General features: G+C 39.4%; 1 protein-coding gene and 1 pseudogene across 1 annotated transcript in view, besides 1 other annotated feature; both read left to right on the top strand.

Annotated features, from left to right (window-relative positions):
- Positions 1–287: 287 nt before the first annotated feature.
- The window catches only part of HEATR6 (HEAT repeat containing 6), a 37,914-nt gene continuing 17,717 nt past the window's right edge, over positions 288–20,484 (top strand). Inside the window, exons 1-11 of the mRNA NM_022070.5 lie at positions 288–513; positions 2,972–3,079; positions 5,323–5,463; positions 5,930–6,045; positions 6,880–6,994; positions 8,402–8,503; positions 9,361–9,498; positions 11,477–11,775; positions 12,823–13,000; positions 19,113–19,319; positions 19,688–19,787. Of these exons, the coding sequence (NP_071353.4) occupies positions 295–513; positions 2,972–3,079; positions 5,323–5,463; positions 5,930–6,045; positions 6,880–6,994; positions 8,402–8,503; positions 9,361–9,498; positions 11,477–11,775; positions 12,823–13,000; positions 19,113–19,319; positions 19,688–19,787 (1,723 nt within the window). The 5' untranslated portion in view covers positions 288–294. The remainder of the gene's footprint in view (positions 514–2,971; positions 3,080–5,322; positions 5,464–5,929; positions 6,046–6,879; positions 6,995–8,401; positions 8,504–9,360; positions 9,499–11,476; positions 11,776–12,822; positions 13,001–19,112; positions 19,320–19,687; positions 19,788–20,484) is intronic.
- Positions 502–631: a silencer, noted in NCBI's record as "silent region_8786". NCBI's record gives its function as "represses an Ori minimal core promoter by ATAC-STARR-seq in GM12878 lymphoblastoid cells {active_cell/tissue: GM12878}" and the evidence as "EXISTENCE:reporter gene assay evidence [ECO:0000049][PMID:35858748]".
- LOC100422693 (polypeptide N-acetylgalactosaminyltransferase 1 pseudogene) lies at positions 15,200–16,205 on the top strand (annotated as a pseudogene).

Genomic DNA, 20,484 nt, shown 5'->3' with positions numbered 1-20,484 from the left:
GGTTTCACCGTGTTAGCTAGGATGGTCTCGATCTTCTGACCTCGTGATCCGCCCGCCTCGGCCTCCCAAAGTGCTGGGATTACAGGCGTCAGCCACCGAGCCCGGCCTCCAAGCCAATTTCTGACAAGCATCTGCAGGGTACCGGTCGGAGGAGTCCCGTAGTCATGGAAACCCCTCTGAGCCCCAGTCCGGTCTAAAAAAGGTACTTTCGGAACTAGAGCGCGCGGAACGGGAGGATGTCCCGGAAGTATTTCCCTGGGATCACCCCACCCACCCCCCCCGCCCGTAGAAAAGATGGCTGCTGTGCAAGTTGTCGGTTCGTGGCCTTCCGTGCAGCCGCGGGAGGCACCGCGGGAAGCAATCCCTGAGCGAGGCAATGGGTTTCGCCTCTTGTCTGCCAGGCTCTGCGCCCTGCGCCCGGATGACAGCAGCTCCGCCCGCACCGAGATCCACCTGCTCTTCGATCAGCTCATCTCCGAGAACTACAGCGAGGGCAGTGGCGTGGCCCCGGAGGTAGGCGGCGCGCCCTGCTGGCCCCGGCCCCGGCCCCACCCCTCCGGGAACCCAGCTGGTGGCCTCTGCCTGCCTTTCCCTGATCTTCCCACTCTCGCGCCTGATGATTTAGTTTCAGGATGGCGTGCCCCCTCCAACCTTGGCACATTCTTAGTTCTCCATTTGGAAGACCCTGCAGTGCTTGGCACGCTCGAGTCATTCAAAACCCAACTTGACGACTCCTGCTCTGATAATGCCTCGGGTTTCCTCTCTGATACCAACTTTCCATCCGCCCGCACCCTCCTTCACTCCCTCTCTGTGCACCCAGAACACTTGGTTGACAAAATGCATTACTACTGTTTATTGCGTACATGGTACACGGACCACGTGGGAATCTTAGAACTTGCGTAGTATTAGGGCTTGTTTGCTAATGAAAATACTGAAGCTCGTAAAAATACAGTATACAAAACTCTGCCACAAAGCCCCTATGTTTTCTGTTCCTACACACTAGCTCCTCCCCTCTGCCGTCTTTCTGAGTAATCTTACACACATCAGGCCTTAAATTAATGAATTCTCTGAACTGTTGACACCATGGCCTTCTGGCCCTACGTAGGAAAGAGGGAAGTGGTGCAAGTTGCCTGCTTGCACAGGCATCTCAAACTAGACAGTTCCTAAAGATGAAATTCATTAGCTCCAAACACGCATTCCCGTCCCCAGTCCATCCCACCTTCCAACACACATGCATCATCCACCAAGTCACACCAGACACAAACACTGGTTCTTCCCTCCTTCATCCCAGATCCTGACCAACTCAGGTATTTCAGAATGTGTCTCATATATATTTCTCAGTTCATCCCCTCCTGTCTATTCCCATAGCGAGTGCCTTAGACCTCAGGCAAGGCGACTTATGCCTGGACTGTTCGCTGATCCCCTCTGACTGATCTCCTGCCTCCTGTCTAGCTCCTCTCCAAGCCAGTCATTCCTCCAATGCCAGAATGATCTTTTCTTTAGGAGGAAAAAAAATTGTTCATAAACTTTAAAATCTGCTTTGGAAAAGTCTTCAATACGTATTGGTAAATGGTTGAAGCAAGTTGCAGGACAATTCATACAGAATGAGATCAGTATGAAGCTGGAGGAGGGATTTTAAAATATGTGTGTTTATATATGCAAAGTAAAAGGTCTGAAAGAATTGACTACAGAATAATAGTGTATGTCATTAGGAAGCAGAGTGAGATTAAGGCAGTAGTCGGGGACTTTTGCTGTATTTGTGTAATTGGATACTTTTGCAACAAAACTTCCATTCTCTCCTGTTACTCCCCCTTTTGTTCCTGTGTGCAGCCATTTAAAACTTGCTGTTCTTCAGGCACCTACTAGTGTTTCACACCTCCAGGTTTTTGCATACTCTGTCCACTTTGCTTGCAGTGTTTTTTGATGCCCTATCTGGCAAATTTCTCCTCATCCTTCAAATCATTCCAGATTCTGCTTTACAGTCACCTCCACAAGGCCTCCCTAATTACTGTTTCTGGACAGAGTTTGTACTTTATTCTTTCAGCACTTGATTCACCTTATTTTAATTATTTGTTGTGTTTCTTTCTCTCTCACTAGTTTGTGAGCTCTTTGAGGTTCAGGAACATGTTTGTTTTACCTTTGGAGCCCAAAGACCTAGCACACTATGACACATAGTAGGTGCTCAGAACCTTGTCATTCTATAAACATCGATGGATGAAGAGTGTGACTTGCAAATAGGTCCCTCTTTTTTTTTTTTTTTTTTTAAGAATTCCCTAATTATGCATAAAATCCATAGAAGTGTTAGGTCTGATTTTTCCCAATGGCATTGAAAATCTGGTTCACTTACCTTTTGATATTTTTAGCTTCAGTTTGTGCTTTCATACCCTAGAAGCCTTTTTCTGGTTATTTAATTATACTGTCTTTACATATAGAGAGCACAGAGTCTTCAGCCTGACCAAAACCGTACTGATTCTTTTCCTTTTTTTTTCTTTTTTCTTTTTTTTAAGAGACAAGGTCTCACTCTGTCATCCAGACTGGAGTGCAGCAGCAAGATCATAGCTCACTGTGACCTAAAACTCCTGGGCTCAAGCCATCCTCCCACCTCAGCCTCCCAAGAAGCTGGGACTACATACCACCATATCCAGCTAATTTTTTTAAAAAAGTTTTTTCTGTAGAGATGGAGTCTCACTATGTTGCCCAAGCTGGTCTTGGACTCCTGGGCTCAAGCAGTCCTCCCGCTTTGACCTCCGGAAGAACTGGGATTAGGTGTGAGCCACTGTGCCTGGCTTTTTCCTTCTTTTTTAGCACATGCTGTTTTTGTGCTATCACTTCATTTTTTTCCTTCCTGCCTCACATTTTCTTTCCCCATTTTGAATGTGAATATTTACTTTTATTTTCCCATTTGGCTGTGTTTTGAGGATCTTCACTTGACTAATAAGTATTTTACCTCTTATCTTTTTTTTTTTGGTAGGACGTTAGTGCTCTTCTTGTCCAGGCTTGCCGACTGGTACCTCTTAATCAGAATCATCTTGTCAGCAAAGTGAGCCAGCTTATCCACCATTTACTTAACAGATTACAGGTAATCATGTATGTAACTCTAGAATTCAGATCATGAACTTTGAGAGTAAGTAAATACCTTTGAAATACTACATCTGTAGTAGGTATGATAGGCTGTTTTTTGAGATGCTATAGGAAAAGCAAATGCCTAAATAAGAATGCTTTTAAAGCAAATATAACTCTGATCCAAAAAAATTATTCTGTAGAATTCTAGAAGTTTGTTTATTAGAAGTATGCCTTTCTGTTTGGTTCAGTAAACCAATATCATTCAGGCCCCCCAACCTTATAATTTCTTTTTTTTTTTTTTTTTTGAGACAGAGTTTCACACTGTTGCCCAGGCTGGAGTGTGGCGCGATCTCAGCTCACAGCAAGCTCCGCCTCCCGAGTTTACACCATTCTTCTGCCTCAGCCTCCCAAGTAGCTGGGACTACAGGCACCCGCCACCACGTCCGGCTAATTTATAATTTCTTATGGAAGATATATTTGAACAAAATATATCTAAGAATAAATTGAAATAATCCCCTGCCTCTTTCCCACCAATATTTTTCCCCTTTCCTGAAGCTACCATTTTTATGGTCTACTTTTGATGCTTCTAAAATATAAGAAGTAGCTTGGGGCCAAGGGGACAGCAGGATAAAAAGACCCCAGTTATTTATTTAAGACTGTTACCACATGAGTATGTGAATATATTTAAGAGCACAAAACATATCAACTAGCATTATGTGAATTAGGATGCTTTTGGCTGCAATAAGCAGAAAAGCCATCCCAGAGTCACTAAACAATTTTTAAAAAAATAAAAAGGAATCACTCCATGTCCCAAGTCCCAAGGGACGCATCTGTAGCCCCTTAATAATAAGAGGCTCATCTTTCCCTTCACCGTCCTCAGCATGTGGGTTATCCTCAGCTAGCATGTCTCACAGTCATAAGATGGCTGTGCCAATTCTGGACATCCCATGCCAAAGAAATGATTACTGTTCAGCAGAAGCTAATTAACTTTATTTTATGTTGTGTCTCTTGTACTTAACAGTAAGGAAACGTGTCCCATGAACTCTCTAGTAGACTCCCCAATATCTTGCTGGAGAGACTTAGGTCATATAAATACCTCTCTAAACCAGTCTTTAAGCAGGAGGATGGTCTTATTGTGAATGGCTCCAGCTAGTAGTTTCAACCTTCACTACACATTAGAATCACTTGGAGGAGGACTTAAGCTCCCTTGATGCTTACAATGTGCAGCCACAGTTAGCCTACATCAGGGTTTCTCAACCTCAGCACTATTGATATTTTGGCTCAGATCATTGTTTTAGGGGCTGTCTTGCACATTGTGGAATGTTTAGCAGCATCCTTGGCCTCTACCCACTAGACGCCAGTAGCACCTCTCCAATTGTGACAGTCAAAAATGTATACAGGCATTGCCAAATGTTCCTTGGGGGTTAAGGTTGCCCCAGGTTGCCCCACTCTCTTAAACTAATTAGCGTTTACCCTTAGGTCTCACATGGGAGAGGTGGACATCCAATTAAATTAGTACTCTGCCAGCAGGGAAGGAAGAAATGGATGCTAGTAGGTAACCAACAGTGTCTGCTGCATGGAGTAAGGCTGTTTTCAGTTTAGAATCTTTGAAACTAACATGAGGTAGCTTCTGTATGTTTACTATTCTCAGGTGTATCATCTTTGTAACACTGGCAATTGGAGATGTTCCTGATCACCTGTGGCACCTATAACCCTTTACCAGCTTTCCAGCACTTGGTGACAGTTTGTCTCAATTGTCCATAAATTGACACTTGGATTAGCCTGGTCTGTCCCAACAAGATTATCAGCTCCTTGACAGCAGGGATATGCCCTCTCTTCATGGTGTATTCCTCATGTCATGTTAGAGATGCAGTAGGTATTTAGCAGTTATATTGGTTCACTGTGTATTCATTGAGTGTTTATTATGTATAAGGCAGTTTAATTAAATTTCAGTGCGTTGAAATACTCATATCTGTGTATTCACAGCTGCCAATGTCTGGTTAGTTCAAGGAAAAGTTACAAGGACTTCATCAAGTTCTACTTTACTAAAGAGGAAGAAGTGAGCAAGACCTTGGGGTGGGGAGAAGGCCCCTACGTTGATCAAACTTTCAGGCCCTTTAGAGGTGATCCTTTTGACACATAAACGACAGACACACACTCTCTCTTTTATACAGCTTGATTCAGGTGAGCATACATGTCCATAAAAGCATAATATTTTTTAAAAGTTAGATCAGAATATATCTTTTCCTGTCCTGTTAGGTAATTGTTGATGAACAGCACTTGGATTTCCTGTTGGCATATACTATTTCGGCTATTCATCAGTGTAGTTCCTGGACACACAGGGAAATTCTTCAAGCCCTGGCAGCTCTGGTGTACTGCAATGGCTCCAAATGTCAAAAGGTAGTTTAAAGTGCTTTATCCTTCCTTTGAAAGGCCAGGAGCACAGACTCTGGTGCCAACACTGTGTTCAGGTTTCTATCTTGCCACTAATCTCTAGCAATTCTTATTCAACCACTCTGGGCCTTGTTTCCTCATGTATAAAATAGTTACTCTGAGGATGAAGTGAGACAATACGTGTCAAGTTCATGGCCCTCGGTAAATAGTAAACATTATTCTTAATATTATCATTACCCATCAGCCATACGGCCACACTAAAGAGCATCAGCAGCTACCTAGGCTGGGAGTAATGATCATTATTGATGCTTTTTGGCATATCTTTGCATATCCATCGGAGACATTTATCTAACAGCTAGTCTTTTGGTGCTTAACTGCCATTTAGTTAAAAAAAGAAAGAAGAAATCTGTCTAAAACATAATATTTTCCTAGAAGCTTTTCTTTGACCTACATTGACTCTTATTTTTCTTAGTACCTCCCAGAGCTGCTAGGCAACACCGGACTCTTAATGAAGTTGAGTGACTTGGCTCAGTCTGATCCTGAAGTCAGGAGAGCTGCAGTACATTGTATGGCAAACTTATGTCTCAGGTATGTGGCTCCAGTCAAGTTTCTCAATGGTAATAAGATAGTGCCTCTATTGGGCCCTTTGTAGGTAGTTCCCTGTGCCTGAAGCCAGAGCCAACTTAGACAAATAACTAACTTTGCATTTCCCATGTACTTTACTAATAAAATCATCTTATGTTGTTTGTTAATTTTAGTATTGCTTGTAAAGAAGGAAAAAATAGACTAGGACCATATTCCTAAAATGTGGTAATAGTGACATAATGTGCAGTATGTCAAAATTTTGTTTTCTATTGATATAAATTCTAAGCATATTAAGTTTTTAGAAGGATATATTCATGCAAATTTTAAGTGCTGGTGAGATGTATCTGTAAAGGGCAATTTCTTTTCTTTGAAGAAGATGGAAACAGCCCCAGCTGCTCACCCTCGATTCTCACAGTAGGCAGTAGACAATGAGCAGCACAAATGTGAACTCGTCTCTGCATAGCACAGTGCTGTCCAGCGAGTAGGAAGGCAGGTACAGATGTGTGATTCTAGCTTGACAGGACCTGTCTGGATTATTTCCCTCCTAGGACTGAACAGCAGAACTAAAACAAGATTTTTCTTTCTCCATAGTTCTTCTACCACAAACTTCTGTAACCTTTCTGTATGGAAACCACCCTTCCTCTATATTCATTCTAGCCCTGTGCCTGTCCCCCAGCAGTAACTAATTAACCAAAATAATAATTTTCCATAGCATAGTTGCACTCAAGGGTATATTCCAACTCTAATAGTCTATATTACTGCTATTTTTAATTAGTCTTTTGCAAGCCTCATTTTAAAGGAGACTGAGTTTGAGTTGTTTTCTCTGTATGCGTTTAGTGTGCCAGGACAGCCGTATTTGGAGGAGCCCTACCAAAATGTCTGTTTCCAAGCTTTTCTGACTATTTTACAGTCTCCAAAATCATCTGATATGGATGATATCACATTTTGCATGGTAAGTGGACTATCATTGACGTAGTGAATGTTGCGGATGTGTCTAGAAGCAGATTGGAAAAGTGTTACTAACGAGTTTAATTTGCACCATTAGCTTCGTCTAGAGAAATACACATATATGAAATGTTTGTAACCTAAAAAGACTAAAATCATACCATTTCGGTTTAAATTATAAGAAGCTTTTTATTTGTTATATTTTGCAATTCTAGATTTTTAGAGGAAACTATTCTTTTTCCTTCTGAGTATAAAAGCAATAGTTGCAGGCTAGTGACTATCTTTAAGATGAAAGTAAAGAGAGATTTCACCAAATATATCTGCAATATTTTATTTCTTTTTTAAAAATACGATGCAAACGACAGTTTATTAACATCTTTTAAATTTAGAGTAACACATTTCAAATGTTATATAGCTGAGATAAAGTTCCTTCTAGTCTCCTGCTCGGATATAGCCACTGAAGACAATTTGTGCTGTGTGCCCTCAGATTTTTTTTTCTATATGTAAATGAGCATAATTACAGCTTTAAGTGGGATCATATTTAACATGCTGTTTTGTAACTTTCTTGTTTTGTTAAAACTTAATATCTCTGGGACATCTATTCGGTTCCTGTTAATATACCTCATAGTTTCTAACTGCTATGGCTGGAAGACCTTGGACAAGTTAGTTAACTTCTTGGAGCCTCTGTGTTCCTCCCTGAAAAGGGACTGATATAACCACATTGTGGGGTTCTTATGAGAAGTATATGAAATAAAGCATTCAAAGGGCCTACTGTTATTGTTGTTGAGTTTTACATTTAGCAGAGGGTTAGCTTCTTTTATAATCATTATCATAATCATCAAAATTGAAGTTTTTAAAATTTTCCCACTATTTCAAACAAGGCTACAGTTCACATCATCCCAATGTCGGAAGTGTTTCTTAAGGAGAGAGTTCTAGAAATGAGATTACTGAGTCAAGAAATCAATCTTGGTCAGAATTGCCCTCCAGAAACCAAGTTTCTATAATTTATCAGCAGTTCCCACATACATCCCCTTGCTTTTAAGAGGGCTGGGTTTGCCATATTACAGAGCTTTCCCAATTCTGATCTGTGCTATCTTTTTTATCCCTTGTCACATTTTTCTTGCTAAACATCTTCTCTCTTTTTTCTTGCTCACCATTTGTACATAGTGGTTTATAAACATGTACAATAAGACCACTTCATTATTCTTTTCTTCTAGAAAAGAATTCATGGTAGTTTATTAGGTCTCCTTAGATCTTCATTTCTGCTTTGTGTGTGTATATGTGTGTCTATAATAAAGTTTTTTTTCATCATCTAGAGACTGTCTCTCTTCCATCCTAAGTGGTGCTAGTAAGTTGATTCCTGGACAACCAGATTTTATTCTGCCTTCTAACTGGGTCTCCCTTTTCCCCCTAGTTATTGCAAAATGCATTAAAAGGTATACAGTCACTTCTAAATGGTGGGAGAATGAAACTAACACAGACTGATGAACTTGGAGCACTTTTAGCTGTGCTAAAGGTAAGGCAAGTCTTCATATGATCATTGTCTTTCCTGTTTCAACCCATGGTACAAGGACCACTTTACATCCTTATTCTAAGGCTAACTTTGAGGTATTAAAAGTTCTTACATATATTTTGAGAGAGTAGACAAAAATGTTCATATTCAAAGACACTTAATATTAAGAACAGAAAATAAATCTCCATTTAATAAATGCATCAAAATTTTAAAATTATTTATGAATCTTAGGAAGGGAATCGGTAGGGGAGTATGACCTATAGAATATTTAATTATAGACTATGTTGTACTTGTTTGTACAAGAAGAGCCAGTGCTTCTCCTTGGCTTTCTCCTCCAAGTAGTAGACAGGCCAACCAAGACGTGTGTCAATGGGCAGCTTCCGAGCGTGCCAGTCAGTCGGAAAGTCAGGCCAGCATCTCTGGGGACCCAGCTTCTTCAGCCAGCAAAGTAAGAAGTAATTCTTTCCTTGTGGCATTCTCTTGCTCCCACATCAAATAGAGAGATAGCTATAGGTGGAGATAGGTAAATAAAAATGATAAATTTGTTTAAAAAATTATAGACAGATAAAGTAATTGGATAAATTTTATAAATAAATAAGGAAACTAAAACCAGACCTGATTTGATCTGACCAAACCAAATCCAGCTGGAGGCCAGATAAACTTCAGCTCTTCTTTAAGCCCTATGCCTTCAAGGTATCTATTTTCTATCTCATTTATATTTCCTTAGTAGGCTTTTGAACATTATCTATGAGTGTTGTGATCCAGACATGGTAAATAGTTCTATTTTATGATTAATGGTTTATGATTAATGGTTTTTTTGGTTTCGTGTGTGTGTGTGTGTCCTTATTCATCATTATTAGAAATTCATGTTTCACGGACTCCCTGGACTAAACATAGAGATGCCCACGGTGTTATACCCAACTCCGCTTCCTCAGTATGATGGGCGAACACCTATCAAACCACAGCAATCAGAATCCAGTGCTTCTCGACCAACTTTGGTACATTTATGTTTATTTAGATTTAAGTTGTGGCTTATTTTTAATAGATTGTTGTGTGTGTTTTCTATGATTTGCATCACTACTACCCTAAAAGCCTACCTTGAATTTTATTTCAGTTTAGGGTTGTTAGCATAGTAAATTTAAACTCATCTGATGCTCAAAATACCAATTAAAGCATCTTATACTTCTTAGAGGTGTAGTCAGTATAACAGCTATAAAAATGAGCATTCACTTTATACCCCAAACCAAGCATTCTCATCCCCATGATGCTCAAGACCAGGAGTCAACAAACGTTCTCTAAACTTTCTCTACTAGGCTAGTAAATACTTCAGGTCTCTGTCATAACTACCAACTCTATTGTAACAGTGCAAAAGCAGCCATAGACACTATGTAAATGAATGGGCATGACTGTGTTTCACTAAAATTTTATTTACAGAAGCAGGCTGTGTGCTGGGCTGGATTTGGCTTTTGGGCCATAATTTGCCAACCCCACTCTAGACTGTTAGAAGCCCACCTACCAGTCAGCGCACCATCTCCACACCTTACATTCACCTGATTTCCCAGCCTTTCCAGAAGCTGCCATCTCCCTCGTGCTTTGGTTGGAGAACCTGGAGCATACAGATGTATGGCCAAGGATTCACTTCCAGAAATGTCATACCTGATCAAAGTGCTTCTTATTAGAAATTATTTCACTCATTCACTCACTCAGCATTTACCCAACATCTGCTGTGTTCCAGACGCTGTGCTAAGCACTAAGTATATAGACTCTGGCTGCTTTTAGGAGTTTGAGGGAGAAGGCAAAGATGGATAAATAAACAACTACAATGCAATATTATTGTTTCTCTCATTAGAATATTCACAGAGTACTCTGGGAACACATTGAGGACACTCAGTCTAAATGGAGGGGGAAGAGGAGGCTTTTTAAAGGTGTGGTAGCTAAACAGAGATTTCAGAGTGAGTAGCAGTACAGACAAGGAGGAATGAGTGTTTCAAGCAGATAAACCAAAAGGTGCATAGACATAGAGAATGAGAGTATATATTGCCCATTTGTTAACTAGTAGGACTAGAGTTTCAGTGCGGGGAGAGAAAGAGTGGAGCCGTTGTGTAGCAGAGGCCGAATGATAAGATTCTTGTACAGGAGGCTGAGTAGTTTGGGTTTTTATCTCGTAGGCAATAGAGATTCATTAAAGAATCTTATATAGGGGAATGATGTGATCAGATTTGTGTCAGAAAAATCACTGTGATAGCAAATAAAAGAATATGGATCTGGGGGCCACAATAAGTAGTCCAAGATAGAAGTAATGGGAACTTCCTTCCTCAAGGCCACAGACTTTGAGAACGTGGAGGAAGACACAGATTCCAGATATACTTGGATATCAGAAAGAAAGTAACAGGGAGAAAGAAAGAAACTGGCTTCTACTTAGTATCTACTTCTACAGAGACCCAAAGCCCTGAAATGAGCATTGTATGTAATAGACTACCGTCTCTTCTGTGCAGGCATGTGGAGTGGTACTAGCTATGTATCTTACTCGGAGAACTGATAAAATAGACACTCAAGTCATTTTCTATAGGCTTTAATGCTCTTGAGAAATTCCAGTTGAGAAGGCTGAATACTTTCACAACACATGTGCAAGGTAGGAGGTATTAGCCGCATACTTACAGATAAGCAAGGTCAAGCTCAAGAGAGGCTAAATGATTTGCCCCAAGGCACAGAGGTACAATTTAAACCCAGGCCACGTGTTTAACTGTGTCTCATGTATTTCATTCCTTCTTTCTTATAGTAGACAGTAAGCACTTAGCATCATGCCTGATGTTTAGGGTATTAATGAAGTTACACTTTTTTCTTTTCTCTTTTCTTCTTTCTTTAAACTACATGTTGGGGACATATTTAGTCACTTTAAAATGAAGAAGTAACGATTCAGTGAAAAGCCATTCTGAAGTAGTTATTATATATGTCTTCATTTGCTCCCACAATCAGAATAAAAAGAAAAAATCCAAAGTAAAACCAAAGAAAATCCAGCAAGGAGAGGAGGAGGAAAAGGAATCCAGTGGTGAAATAGAGGCAGCCCCAGTCACTGGCACAGGCAGAGTGAACCTGCATGAAGGGAACACTTGGTGTCCCTCCTCCCTGGGTGTCCAGAGTTTGCCTTTAGATGGAAGTGGAGCTGCAGAAAAAGATGGAGTCTCCTCATCCTTCAGTTCTTCCAGTTGGAAAAGGGTCAGCAGTAGTGAGTCAGACTTTTCTGATGCTGAAGGAGGCATGCAGAGTAAAATGAGGTAGTAGTATTTTGTTACATTTTTATACCTTGTATTCTAAGTTGCATGTAAGTTTATAACTTAACCTGAATGCTGCATGTGATTTAACTTGAAGAGCCTGATTTCTGGGGGGCATGGTGTTATTCAGAACATGACTTGTTCTCTTTTTTTTTTTTTTTTTTTTTGAGACGGAGTCTCGCTCTGTCGCCCAGGCTGGAGTGCAGTGGCGGGATCTCGGCTCACTGCAAGCTCCGCCTCCCGGGTTCACGCCATTCTCCTGCCTCAGCCTCCCGAGTAGCTGGGACTACAGGCGCCCGCCACTACGCCCGGCTAATTTTTTGTATTTTTAGTAGAGACGGGGTTTCACCGTTTTAGCCGGGATGGTCTCGATCTCCTGACCTCGTGATCCGCCCGCCTCGGCCTCCCAAAGTGCTGGGATTACAGGCGTGAGCCACCGCGCCCGGCCGACTTGTTCTCTTGATCTGCCATTGCACATGTCATTCCTCTCCTTAGAATATTCTTTTTTGCCTTTTCGTCTTGCTAACCACTACTCATCTTTGATATGGGCTCAGAAATCATATTCCCCGGGAAGCCTTTTCTGCCTTGGTGTTATTCGTAACATGTGATAGTTATCTCCTTAACTGTCCCTCGCTGCCTAGCTTGTCAAGGCTGGGGCTTTGTTTATGTCTGGCAGCCTCAGCATGATGCCTGGCACATACATAGGTCATTCAGTAGATATTCGTTGAATGGATGGATGGATACTCGGCAGTGTTTCATGTCTAACACCAGTGTCCTGATATCAAAATGTTGCCCTCTTGTTCTCCAGTTGTGTTTTTTAATTGTCAGCCTTAATAACTTGTTATAGAGACAAATTGTCTTAACATGTTTTGATTGTAGTTTGAAAGAAAAATTTTTAATAACACATTGACATCTTTAGGAATTATTTAGAATGTTTAATTTTTGAATGTATCATTTGAATTGGTGGAAATAAATACCATTTCATGTTTGCATTTTTTTTAAAAAAATGATTTTTTAAGTGTTTTTTCTTTTTTCTCTTGGTTATGAAAGGTCTTACCAAGCTAAAGTTCGCCAAGGAGCCTTAGTTTGTTTTCTTTCTACTATAAAATCGATAGAAAAAAAAGTTCTTTATGGCTACTGGTCAGCTTTTATTCCTGATACGCCTGAACTTGGCAGCCCACAGTCAGTGTCCTTGATGACTCTTACATTGAAAGACCCTTCTCCAAAGGTAAGAGAATTTAAACTCTAAGCTTTATAATAGGAAGAAAAAATTTACAGATCCTTATTGTTATCTCTGCCTTATCCTGTCTGATCTGAATATAGCTCTTAGTAACACTGACCCAAGTTCCGACTTGACCACTGGACAGACAGGAAAATAGGAAGTGGGCTTATGTGAATAATACACTGAGGCTGATCATGTAGGATCGCTTCCTGCCCCAGGGCTTGCTTGAAGCCTGAGCACACTGAATTCTAACTTTGGTGTCTCCCTTGAACTGCACTGAAGCAGCTGTGCTTCTCTTCCTTTTATGAAAATGTTGATTGCTGTGGTATTTATAATAAGAAAACATCAGAAATGGCTTAAACAACTCAGTAGAATATCATGGTACATAATGGCTATGAAGGATGCATAAGGCTTAGAAAAATGCCCAAAATGTTCTGTGAAAACACAGGATATAGAATTATGTATACAGTAGGATCCCAAACATGATTTTTTCTTGCAACTTTTCTAGTTTTCAAATCATGTGTAATAAATATTTACATATTTTAATGAGAAAAACTTATTTTTAAAAAGAAGAAAAAAATGATTGGCAGGCATGGATAGCTATAGCAAGATATCTCATGGCTTATCAAATATTTGCCTCGCTTGAATATGTTAATTCTTCTCCAGAATTTAGCCACTTAACCAAGTAAGGAAAATAGCCTGCTGTTTACAATAATGAACATTAAAAAGTCATGCTGAATGGCATCTGGGTGTCCTCAGGTAACCAGCTACCCACAAAGAGGAGTTTTAATTAGGCCAACAGCATATTGTTCCTTTTCTGTTTTTAAGATTATTCCTTAAGGGGTCAGGGGTGGTAACCCACAATACGTTGGAATTCCATATGAGTCATCTCCTTGAGTAACTTACTATATAAGAAAATTTCTGGATGACCCATCAGAAGCTTTTACAAGGTAAAGAAAAATAAATTAGCCTCAATTTTATATACACGCAAAAAAATGACTTGTGGGGTATTTCAAATACTCCTTATCCTAGGAAATTAAACTGGCAGAAATTTTACAAATTAACTAAATCAATAGTGAATGAGAACCTAGGAGAAAAATGGAAAAATGAGTGGTGGCAAATAAATCAGTAATGAAGCCATTAGAGTAATTGAAATAAAAGCTACTAAAAATATTGAAAATATATATTTGAAGACCCTCCAGCTAGGGGAGCTGCCAGCAGTGGCCAACGAGATGGTGCTGTGGAGCAAGAAGCAGCCCAGCTTTATCACCTTTATCACAGCTGCCCAGCCAAGGGGATGTGGGACACGGGGGTTTAGAACAGGAATACAAAAAGGTTATGAGGTCATAGCTGATGAAAATGAATTGGAATAATTTTCATGATGTTTATATCTTCATATATTTTTAAATGTTTACATTTCACTTAAAGTGCCATGAGAAATTTCACCTATTGCAAAGTGGTCTTATCCATCTCCTTGATTTAGGTACCTTTTAGACTTGTTCTTGCTGTTTAACTTTGGTGAATGCAAGAGATGTGCTGAGGAAAAAAGATACAGAACTTCCTTCTGGAGATGTTGTAGATCCAGTACAAAAAGCCACAAGAAAATCCTAGAGAAAAAAAAAAAAAAGTCATCCTACTTAAAGTGGATTTTAAAAGATGAAAGAAATTAAATTAGTTCAGTGTAATGGCAAGTGAAATGATCGTACTTAAGAGATTCTTTTAATCAAGTGTTAGCTTGGAAGGGTTTAAATAAGTGTGGTAATTATTGTTTACAACAGAGCTTGGAGCATACCTTTGCAGTCTGTCCATAGTGTGATTAACTGTGCACCAAGACATATGCTAGAAAAAAGTGTTGTGGTAGGTGATGTCATGGGACAGGCTTTTGTTTGTTTGTTTGTTTGTTTGTTTGAGACAGAGTTTTGCTCTTGTTGCCCAGGCTGGAGTGCAATGGTGAGATCTCAGCTTACTGCAACCTCTGCCTCCCGGGTTCAAGCAATTCTGTCTCAGCCTCCCGAGGAGCTGGGACTACAGGCATGCACCACCATGCCTGGCTAATTTTGTATTTTTGGTAAAGATGGGATTTCTCCATGTTGGTCAGGCTGGTCTGGAATTCCTGACCCCAGGTGATGTGCCTGCCTTGGCCTCCCAAAGTGCTGGGATTATAGACTTGAGCCACCGCACCCGGCCCAGTGGGACAGGCTTTTAAAATAAAGACTTCTAGAAAGTTATGTGCATTAAAATTAAAAATAACAGATCATGTAATTAGAATGGAACAGCATTCTGGATTGACCAGGTTAAAAGAGCTGCCATGACTCCAGGCCAAGTGGTCATCTCAGGTGCTCCTTGTGCATATAGAGTTAGATGGCTGGAGTTCCTCTTAGCCAGGATTAAATAAGACAACTGTAGTTTATCTTGTCATTGAAGTGCTTAGTGATTAGTTTTGAGTTTATGGCAGGTCTGATATGACCCATGGCATACTCAGCTGGAAGCACAATTTTAACTGGTGTACTAAGAAATTTTCTAAAGACAAATGGACAGAAGGAAAGGTGATTAGACTCTTCCAGTCAGAATGCCAACAATAAACAGAGGCTACTTTTAGGAAATTGAAACATAATATGCTAGAATGGTTAATTGGGGAGAAGAAAACTTAGAAATGTCCATTCGGATTTGGCAGTGCTGTGGTACTTGGGAAATGATCACATTTCCATGTTGGAAATGTGCTTCATAGAGCACATCTTATACACTTCCAAAAGGGACAGAACAAATTATCAATAAAAATAACAAGACTAATTTAAGAATTTCTTGGATATGATTTCCTTAGGTGTTATAAACGCATATTATGGAGAATATCATCAAGACTTGTCTTAAGAAACAAACTACAGGGCAAACCTTTGTCTTGGTACCTTGAGAATTATCCTGATTTACAAATTTCATGATGATGATTTATTGCTGTTTCAGATAACTATAAAAAGTGAAAACAAATCGAAATCTAGATAATAGTGGTATAACTAGAAAAGAGAATGAAAAGGTTGGAATTGTTAACTGTTATGGAATGGTAGATTTTCTCTCATATGGCCAGCCAAGAACAGGCAATCTTTGCTTAGTGTATTAGCAAAGAACAGGCAGTCTTTAATTAGTGTATCTGTATTGACGCTTCTGATAAAGACATACCCGAGACTGGGAAGAAAAAGAGGTTTAATTGGACTTACAGCTCCACATGGCTGGGGAGGCTTCAGAATCATGGCAGGAGGCAAAAGGCACTTCTTTACATGGTGGCAGCAAGAGAAAATGAGGAAGAAGCAAAAGCAGAAACCCCTGATAAACCCATCAGATCTCGTGAGACTATCACGAGAATAGCAGGGGGAAGACCAGCCCCCATGATTCAGTTACCTCTCACAAGTCCCTCCCACAACACGTGAGAATGCTGGGAGATATAATTCAAGTTGAGATTTGGGTGGGGACACAGCTAAACCATATCACTTAGATACCTCCCAACCCAGAGTCCCTGACACAATGTTGAAATGCTGTTACGTAAAAGACAACTGACTTTGGAAGTGAGATCCAATAAAATAACATGTGAACAGTCATGTGCCCTGCATGGAAACTTCAATGTACCTACTCCCAGCAGGGACTTCTTTGTCACCCTTCCAGAAATATTCTGAGACCAAACACACATAAAGAGGAAAAAAATTAGGATTGACTAGGCTACCTCAGCAAACATTTGTGCTACGTTCTTAAGTAGCAAAAAAGGAAAAGTACTTTTCTGTTTTATTAGCTTTAGACAAGTCTTCATGTCCAAGGAGGTGAAACTATACACTAGTAAAACCAAGCACACTGACTTCTGTAAGACTGAAAAGCCTTTCATTCATCATTTTAAATATTCAGACAATGAAAACTTAACAAAATGAGCTCTCTGAAGAGCTACACCTGTTATGATTTACTTGCACGTTAGTAATTTCTGCTGAAAGTGCTGATTAGGACTGGTAAACCAGATATTAAATATTGATATAAGAGCAAAAGAAGCAAAACTTGTACCAGATTCAGTATCTTAAGTAACAATTATAACAACAAAGATATGTTAAACAGAGTTTAAAGGAAATTAACTCAGAACTGTGAGAAGTACAATTTGATATAGTATCAAATTTCTATATAGATTTTGTAACTTAGTGGAAAAAAATAACCAATTTCAATGACATTTGTTTTCATCTGTGATAGTCATGATTTTCCCCTTAAGATGCCAAAATTGTGCTAAAATTTTTGACTTTTGGAACATTAGTTCATTTCTTTCCATTCGATTTTTAATTTCATTCAGTTTGTGAGCTGTTGGAATTGTGATTTTTAATTGTCTTCTAAAGAAATGAAGGTTTAGCATAAGATCTATCTTGTTGAGTTCGGACGAGCCTCTAGTAGGGATTGGCCAGCTGTGGCCCGTAGGGCAAATCTGGCCCACCACCTGTTTTTGTACAGCCTGTTAGCTAAGAATGGTTTTTACACTTTTAAATGGTTTTAAAATAAAACAATAATATCTCGTGATATGTGAAAATTATATGGAATTCAGATTGCATTGTCCGTAAATCAAGTCTTTTTGGAACGCAACCACGTTTATTCCTTTACATGTCTATGCTACAATCACAGAGTTGGGTGGTTGTGACAGAAACTGGCCCACAAAGTCTAAAATATAAAATGTTTACTGCTGGCTCTTTACAGAAAAGTTTGCCAGCCCCTGATCTAAGTCCTTTTTGGATCAGCTGACTTGTGTTCATGCTCTCGCTCTCTCGTTTTTTCACACATATACACACGGTTTCCTAATACATTGTCAATTTCCCACCTTAGGGGATTATGCTTAATTCTGAAGTCTGATGCTACTGTACTTCAAATTTCTCTTCAGAGCAATAAGTCTAGATTTCTACGACTCCACTCTATAAAAGGCCTGCCTGGTGATTTATTACCTGGTTGTTTGGAGATAATATAATTGAAGGCTTTTGGGAAAACCTTTTTTGCTCCAAACTCAGATATGCTTCATATTGAGTAACTATTTAGGTTAGATTCTAGAATTGTAATGTTGGTTCCCTGCTTTTAAATTTTTTGACTGAAAATGTTAATTATCATTTTTGGATGAGCTGGCCTAAGAGAGTACAATATTATTCCGTATTAATAGTCCTATGCTTATTACCTATATCCCATTTTTGTAAAGTTGGGCTTTCTTTTCCTTTCTAATACTACAAAATCATCTGAGTACCAATTGAAAGTAATCTTTCAACCTTATAAAGAAAATCTTGGTGCCAGTGACACCTTTCCTAACAAATACAGCAGTCCATGACAAAGATGTTCTTTTTGTCCTTTCCATTCATAAGATTGTACTTAATGGTATTCCTTTTTTGAATTGTCAAATACTGTCACTGCAGGCAGTGTTATTTCCTGTACCTAAGACTGTTTCTGAAAGTTGGATCACTAATGATGTCTGCCAAGCAGTATGTACACAAAGTTCCTAAAGTCCTATTTAAGTTAACATTGAACACACATACTTCAGAGTGGAATATGAGGCATAATGTTCTCAGGAACTTTAATAGGAAACAGACTCTAGGCACATGTGTTTTTTCTACCCCATGGGCTGTTTAGTTCTAACTTTTCAGTTGGCATTCTGCTTGAATAAACCAGGCCTCTAATTCTTATTCTCATGCTTAGGATTTCAGATTTTTGTGCTATGGTGTAGCTTAGATTTATTTCTTACTGTAAAACACCTAACAGCAATGGGTTTCTAGATTTTTTTTTAGCCAGGTGTGGTGGCACACATGTAGTCCTAGCTACTTGGGAGGCTGACGTGGGAGGATTGCTTGAGCCCAGGAGTTTGAGGCTGCAGTGAGTTATGATTGCGCCACTGCACTGCAGCCTAGGTGACAGAGCGAGACTGTGTCTCTAAAATAAAAATAAAATAAAGATTTTTTTTTAGGTGTGGGACGCAAGTGGCCTAGTTTTTAGGAACTAACAGATAATCCCATTGCCTTTATTCTTCCAATTAAAATGATTGTAAATACTTTGAACATTAAATATGTATAGGAAGAAGGGAATCTGACTCCTAATTTTCAACTAATCAATGTGAATCATCCCGAAATTTCAGACACGTGCCTGTGCTCTGCAAGTTTTATCTGCCATCTTGGAAGGCTCAAAGCAGTTTCTTTCTGTTGCTGAAGATACCAGTGACCACAGAAGGGCTTTTACCCCCTTCTCCGTAATGATCGCTTGCAGCATTAGAGAGTTGCACAGATGTCTTTTGTTAGCTTTGGTGGCGGAGTCATCCTCACAGACCGTTACTCAGATAATTAAGGTAATGTACCAACTGTGGGTTCCAGAGCAGGCTTCTCTGTTTTAATTTTGTATACTGTTTTACATAGCTCAAAAGTAACTTGACTTAAGAATATAACTAAGTAATAGTTTTATTAAAAATACACTATTTGGAAGTCTGTACCTACTCGTCTGATCTTATCTATAATCTCTGTATGTCCCAATAAATGATTTGCTAAAAATACTTCTTTATCTTTAGTTGTACCAATGAGAATACAAGTGTTATTAAAAAAAAGGGGGGCTAATTTTTAGTTGTGTGAAAACTTTTCTTTTTTAATTAAATGCTGCAAAATTTGTTCTATGCTGTGGTTTAATCAAGCCTTTTGATGAGCTACTTTTTGTGTTTTACAGTGCCTTGCAAATTTAGTATCAAATGCACCTTATGATCGTCTAAAACTCAGCCTGCTGACCAAAGTCTGGAACCAGATAAAGCCTTATATTCGCCACAAAGGTTTGTAGTGGCTTAAAACTGATGGCTTCTTTGTATCAGTCAGATGCAGACTATTAGTAAAAATATACAGATATAGATATATGTATATATTCAAAGCATTTTTACAACTCTTAAGAGATCTCTGCTTATTCTTCTCAACTTTTCAGGGGTATAAGCTGTTGCAAGAATTGACCCCTCAAGTCCCAGTGGAAGTGAGCTAGAGGATTAATTGTAAAGTTTGCCTGTTTAATGCTCAGGGCAGTGACCAGAGTATCCCTTTAGAATTAAGATTGAGCCAGGTGCAAGCAGCCCCCCTGAGGAGTATGATTGTTTATATCCCTTACACATAGGTAGAGGATGGATGGATGGTTAGATAGACAGACAGACGGACAGATAGATATTATCTACTTTTTGGAAAGAAAAACTGGAATACAAAATTTAACTTCTTTATTGTTATTTCCTATGAAGTTCAGATAAAACCCCAGAACTTCAAATCTTTACTAAGTGCAGTCTTATTATTTCCTCCTACACATAATGTATTTGTGCTATAAACACTTGCCTTTTGTAGATTTGCCTTTCTTTTGTTTGCAAGCTTTCAGATCGGACCACATTCTGATGAGTTCAGTTTTTCAGGCAGAATTGTAACAAGGAAGGAATAGTGGATGTTTTCTGTGACATAGTGGGAAGAGCATGGGACCTGAAGTCAATCCAAGGGTCT

This window comes from Homo sapiens, chromosome 17 (genome assembly GCF_000001405.40).
Source record: "Homo sapiens chromosome 17, GRCh38.p14 Primary Assembly".
NCBI lineage: Eukaryota > Metazoa > Chordata > Mammalia > Primates > Hominidae > Homo > Homo sapiens.
The sequence above is the reverse complement of the archived record's forward strand: the minus strand, read 5'-3'. Positions and strand labels throughout refer to the sequence as shown.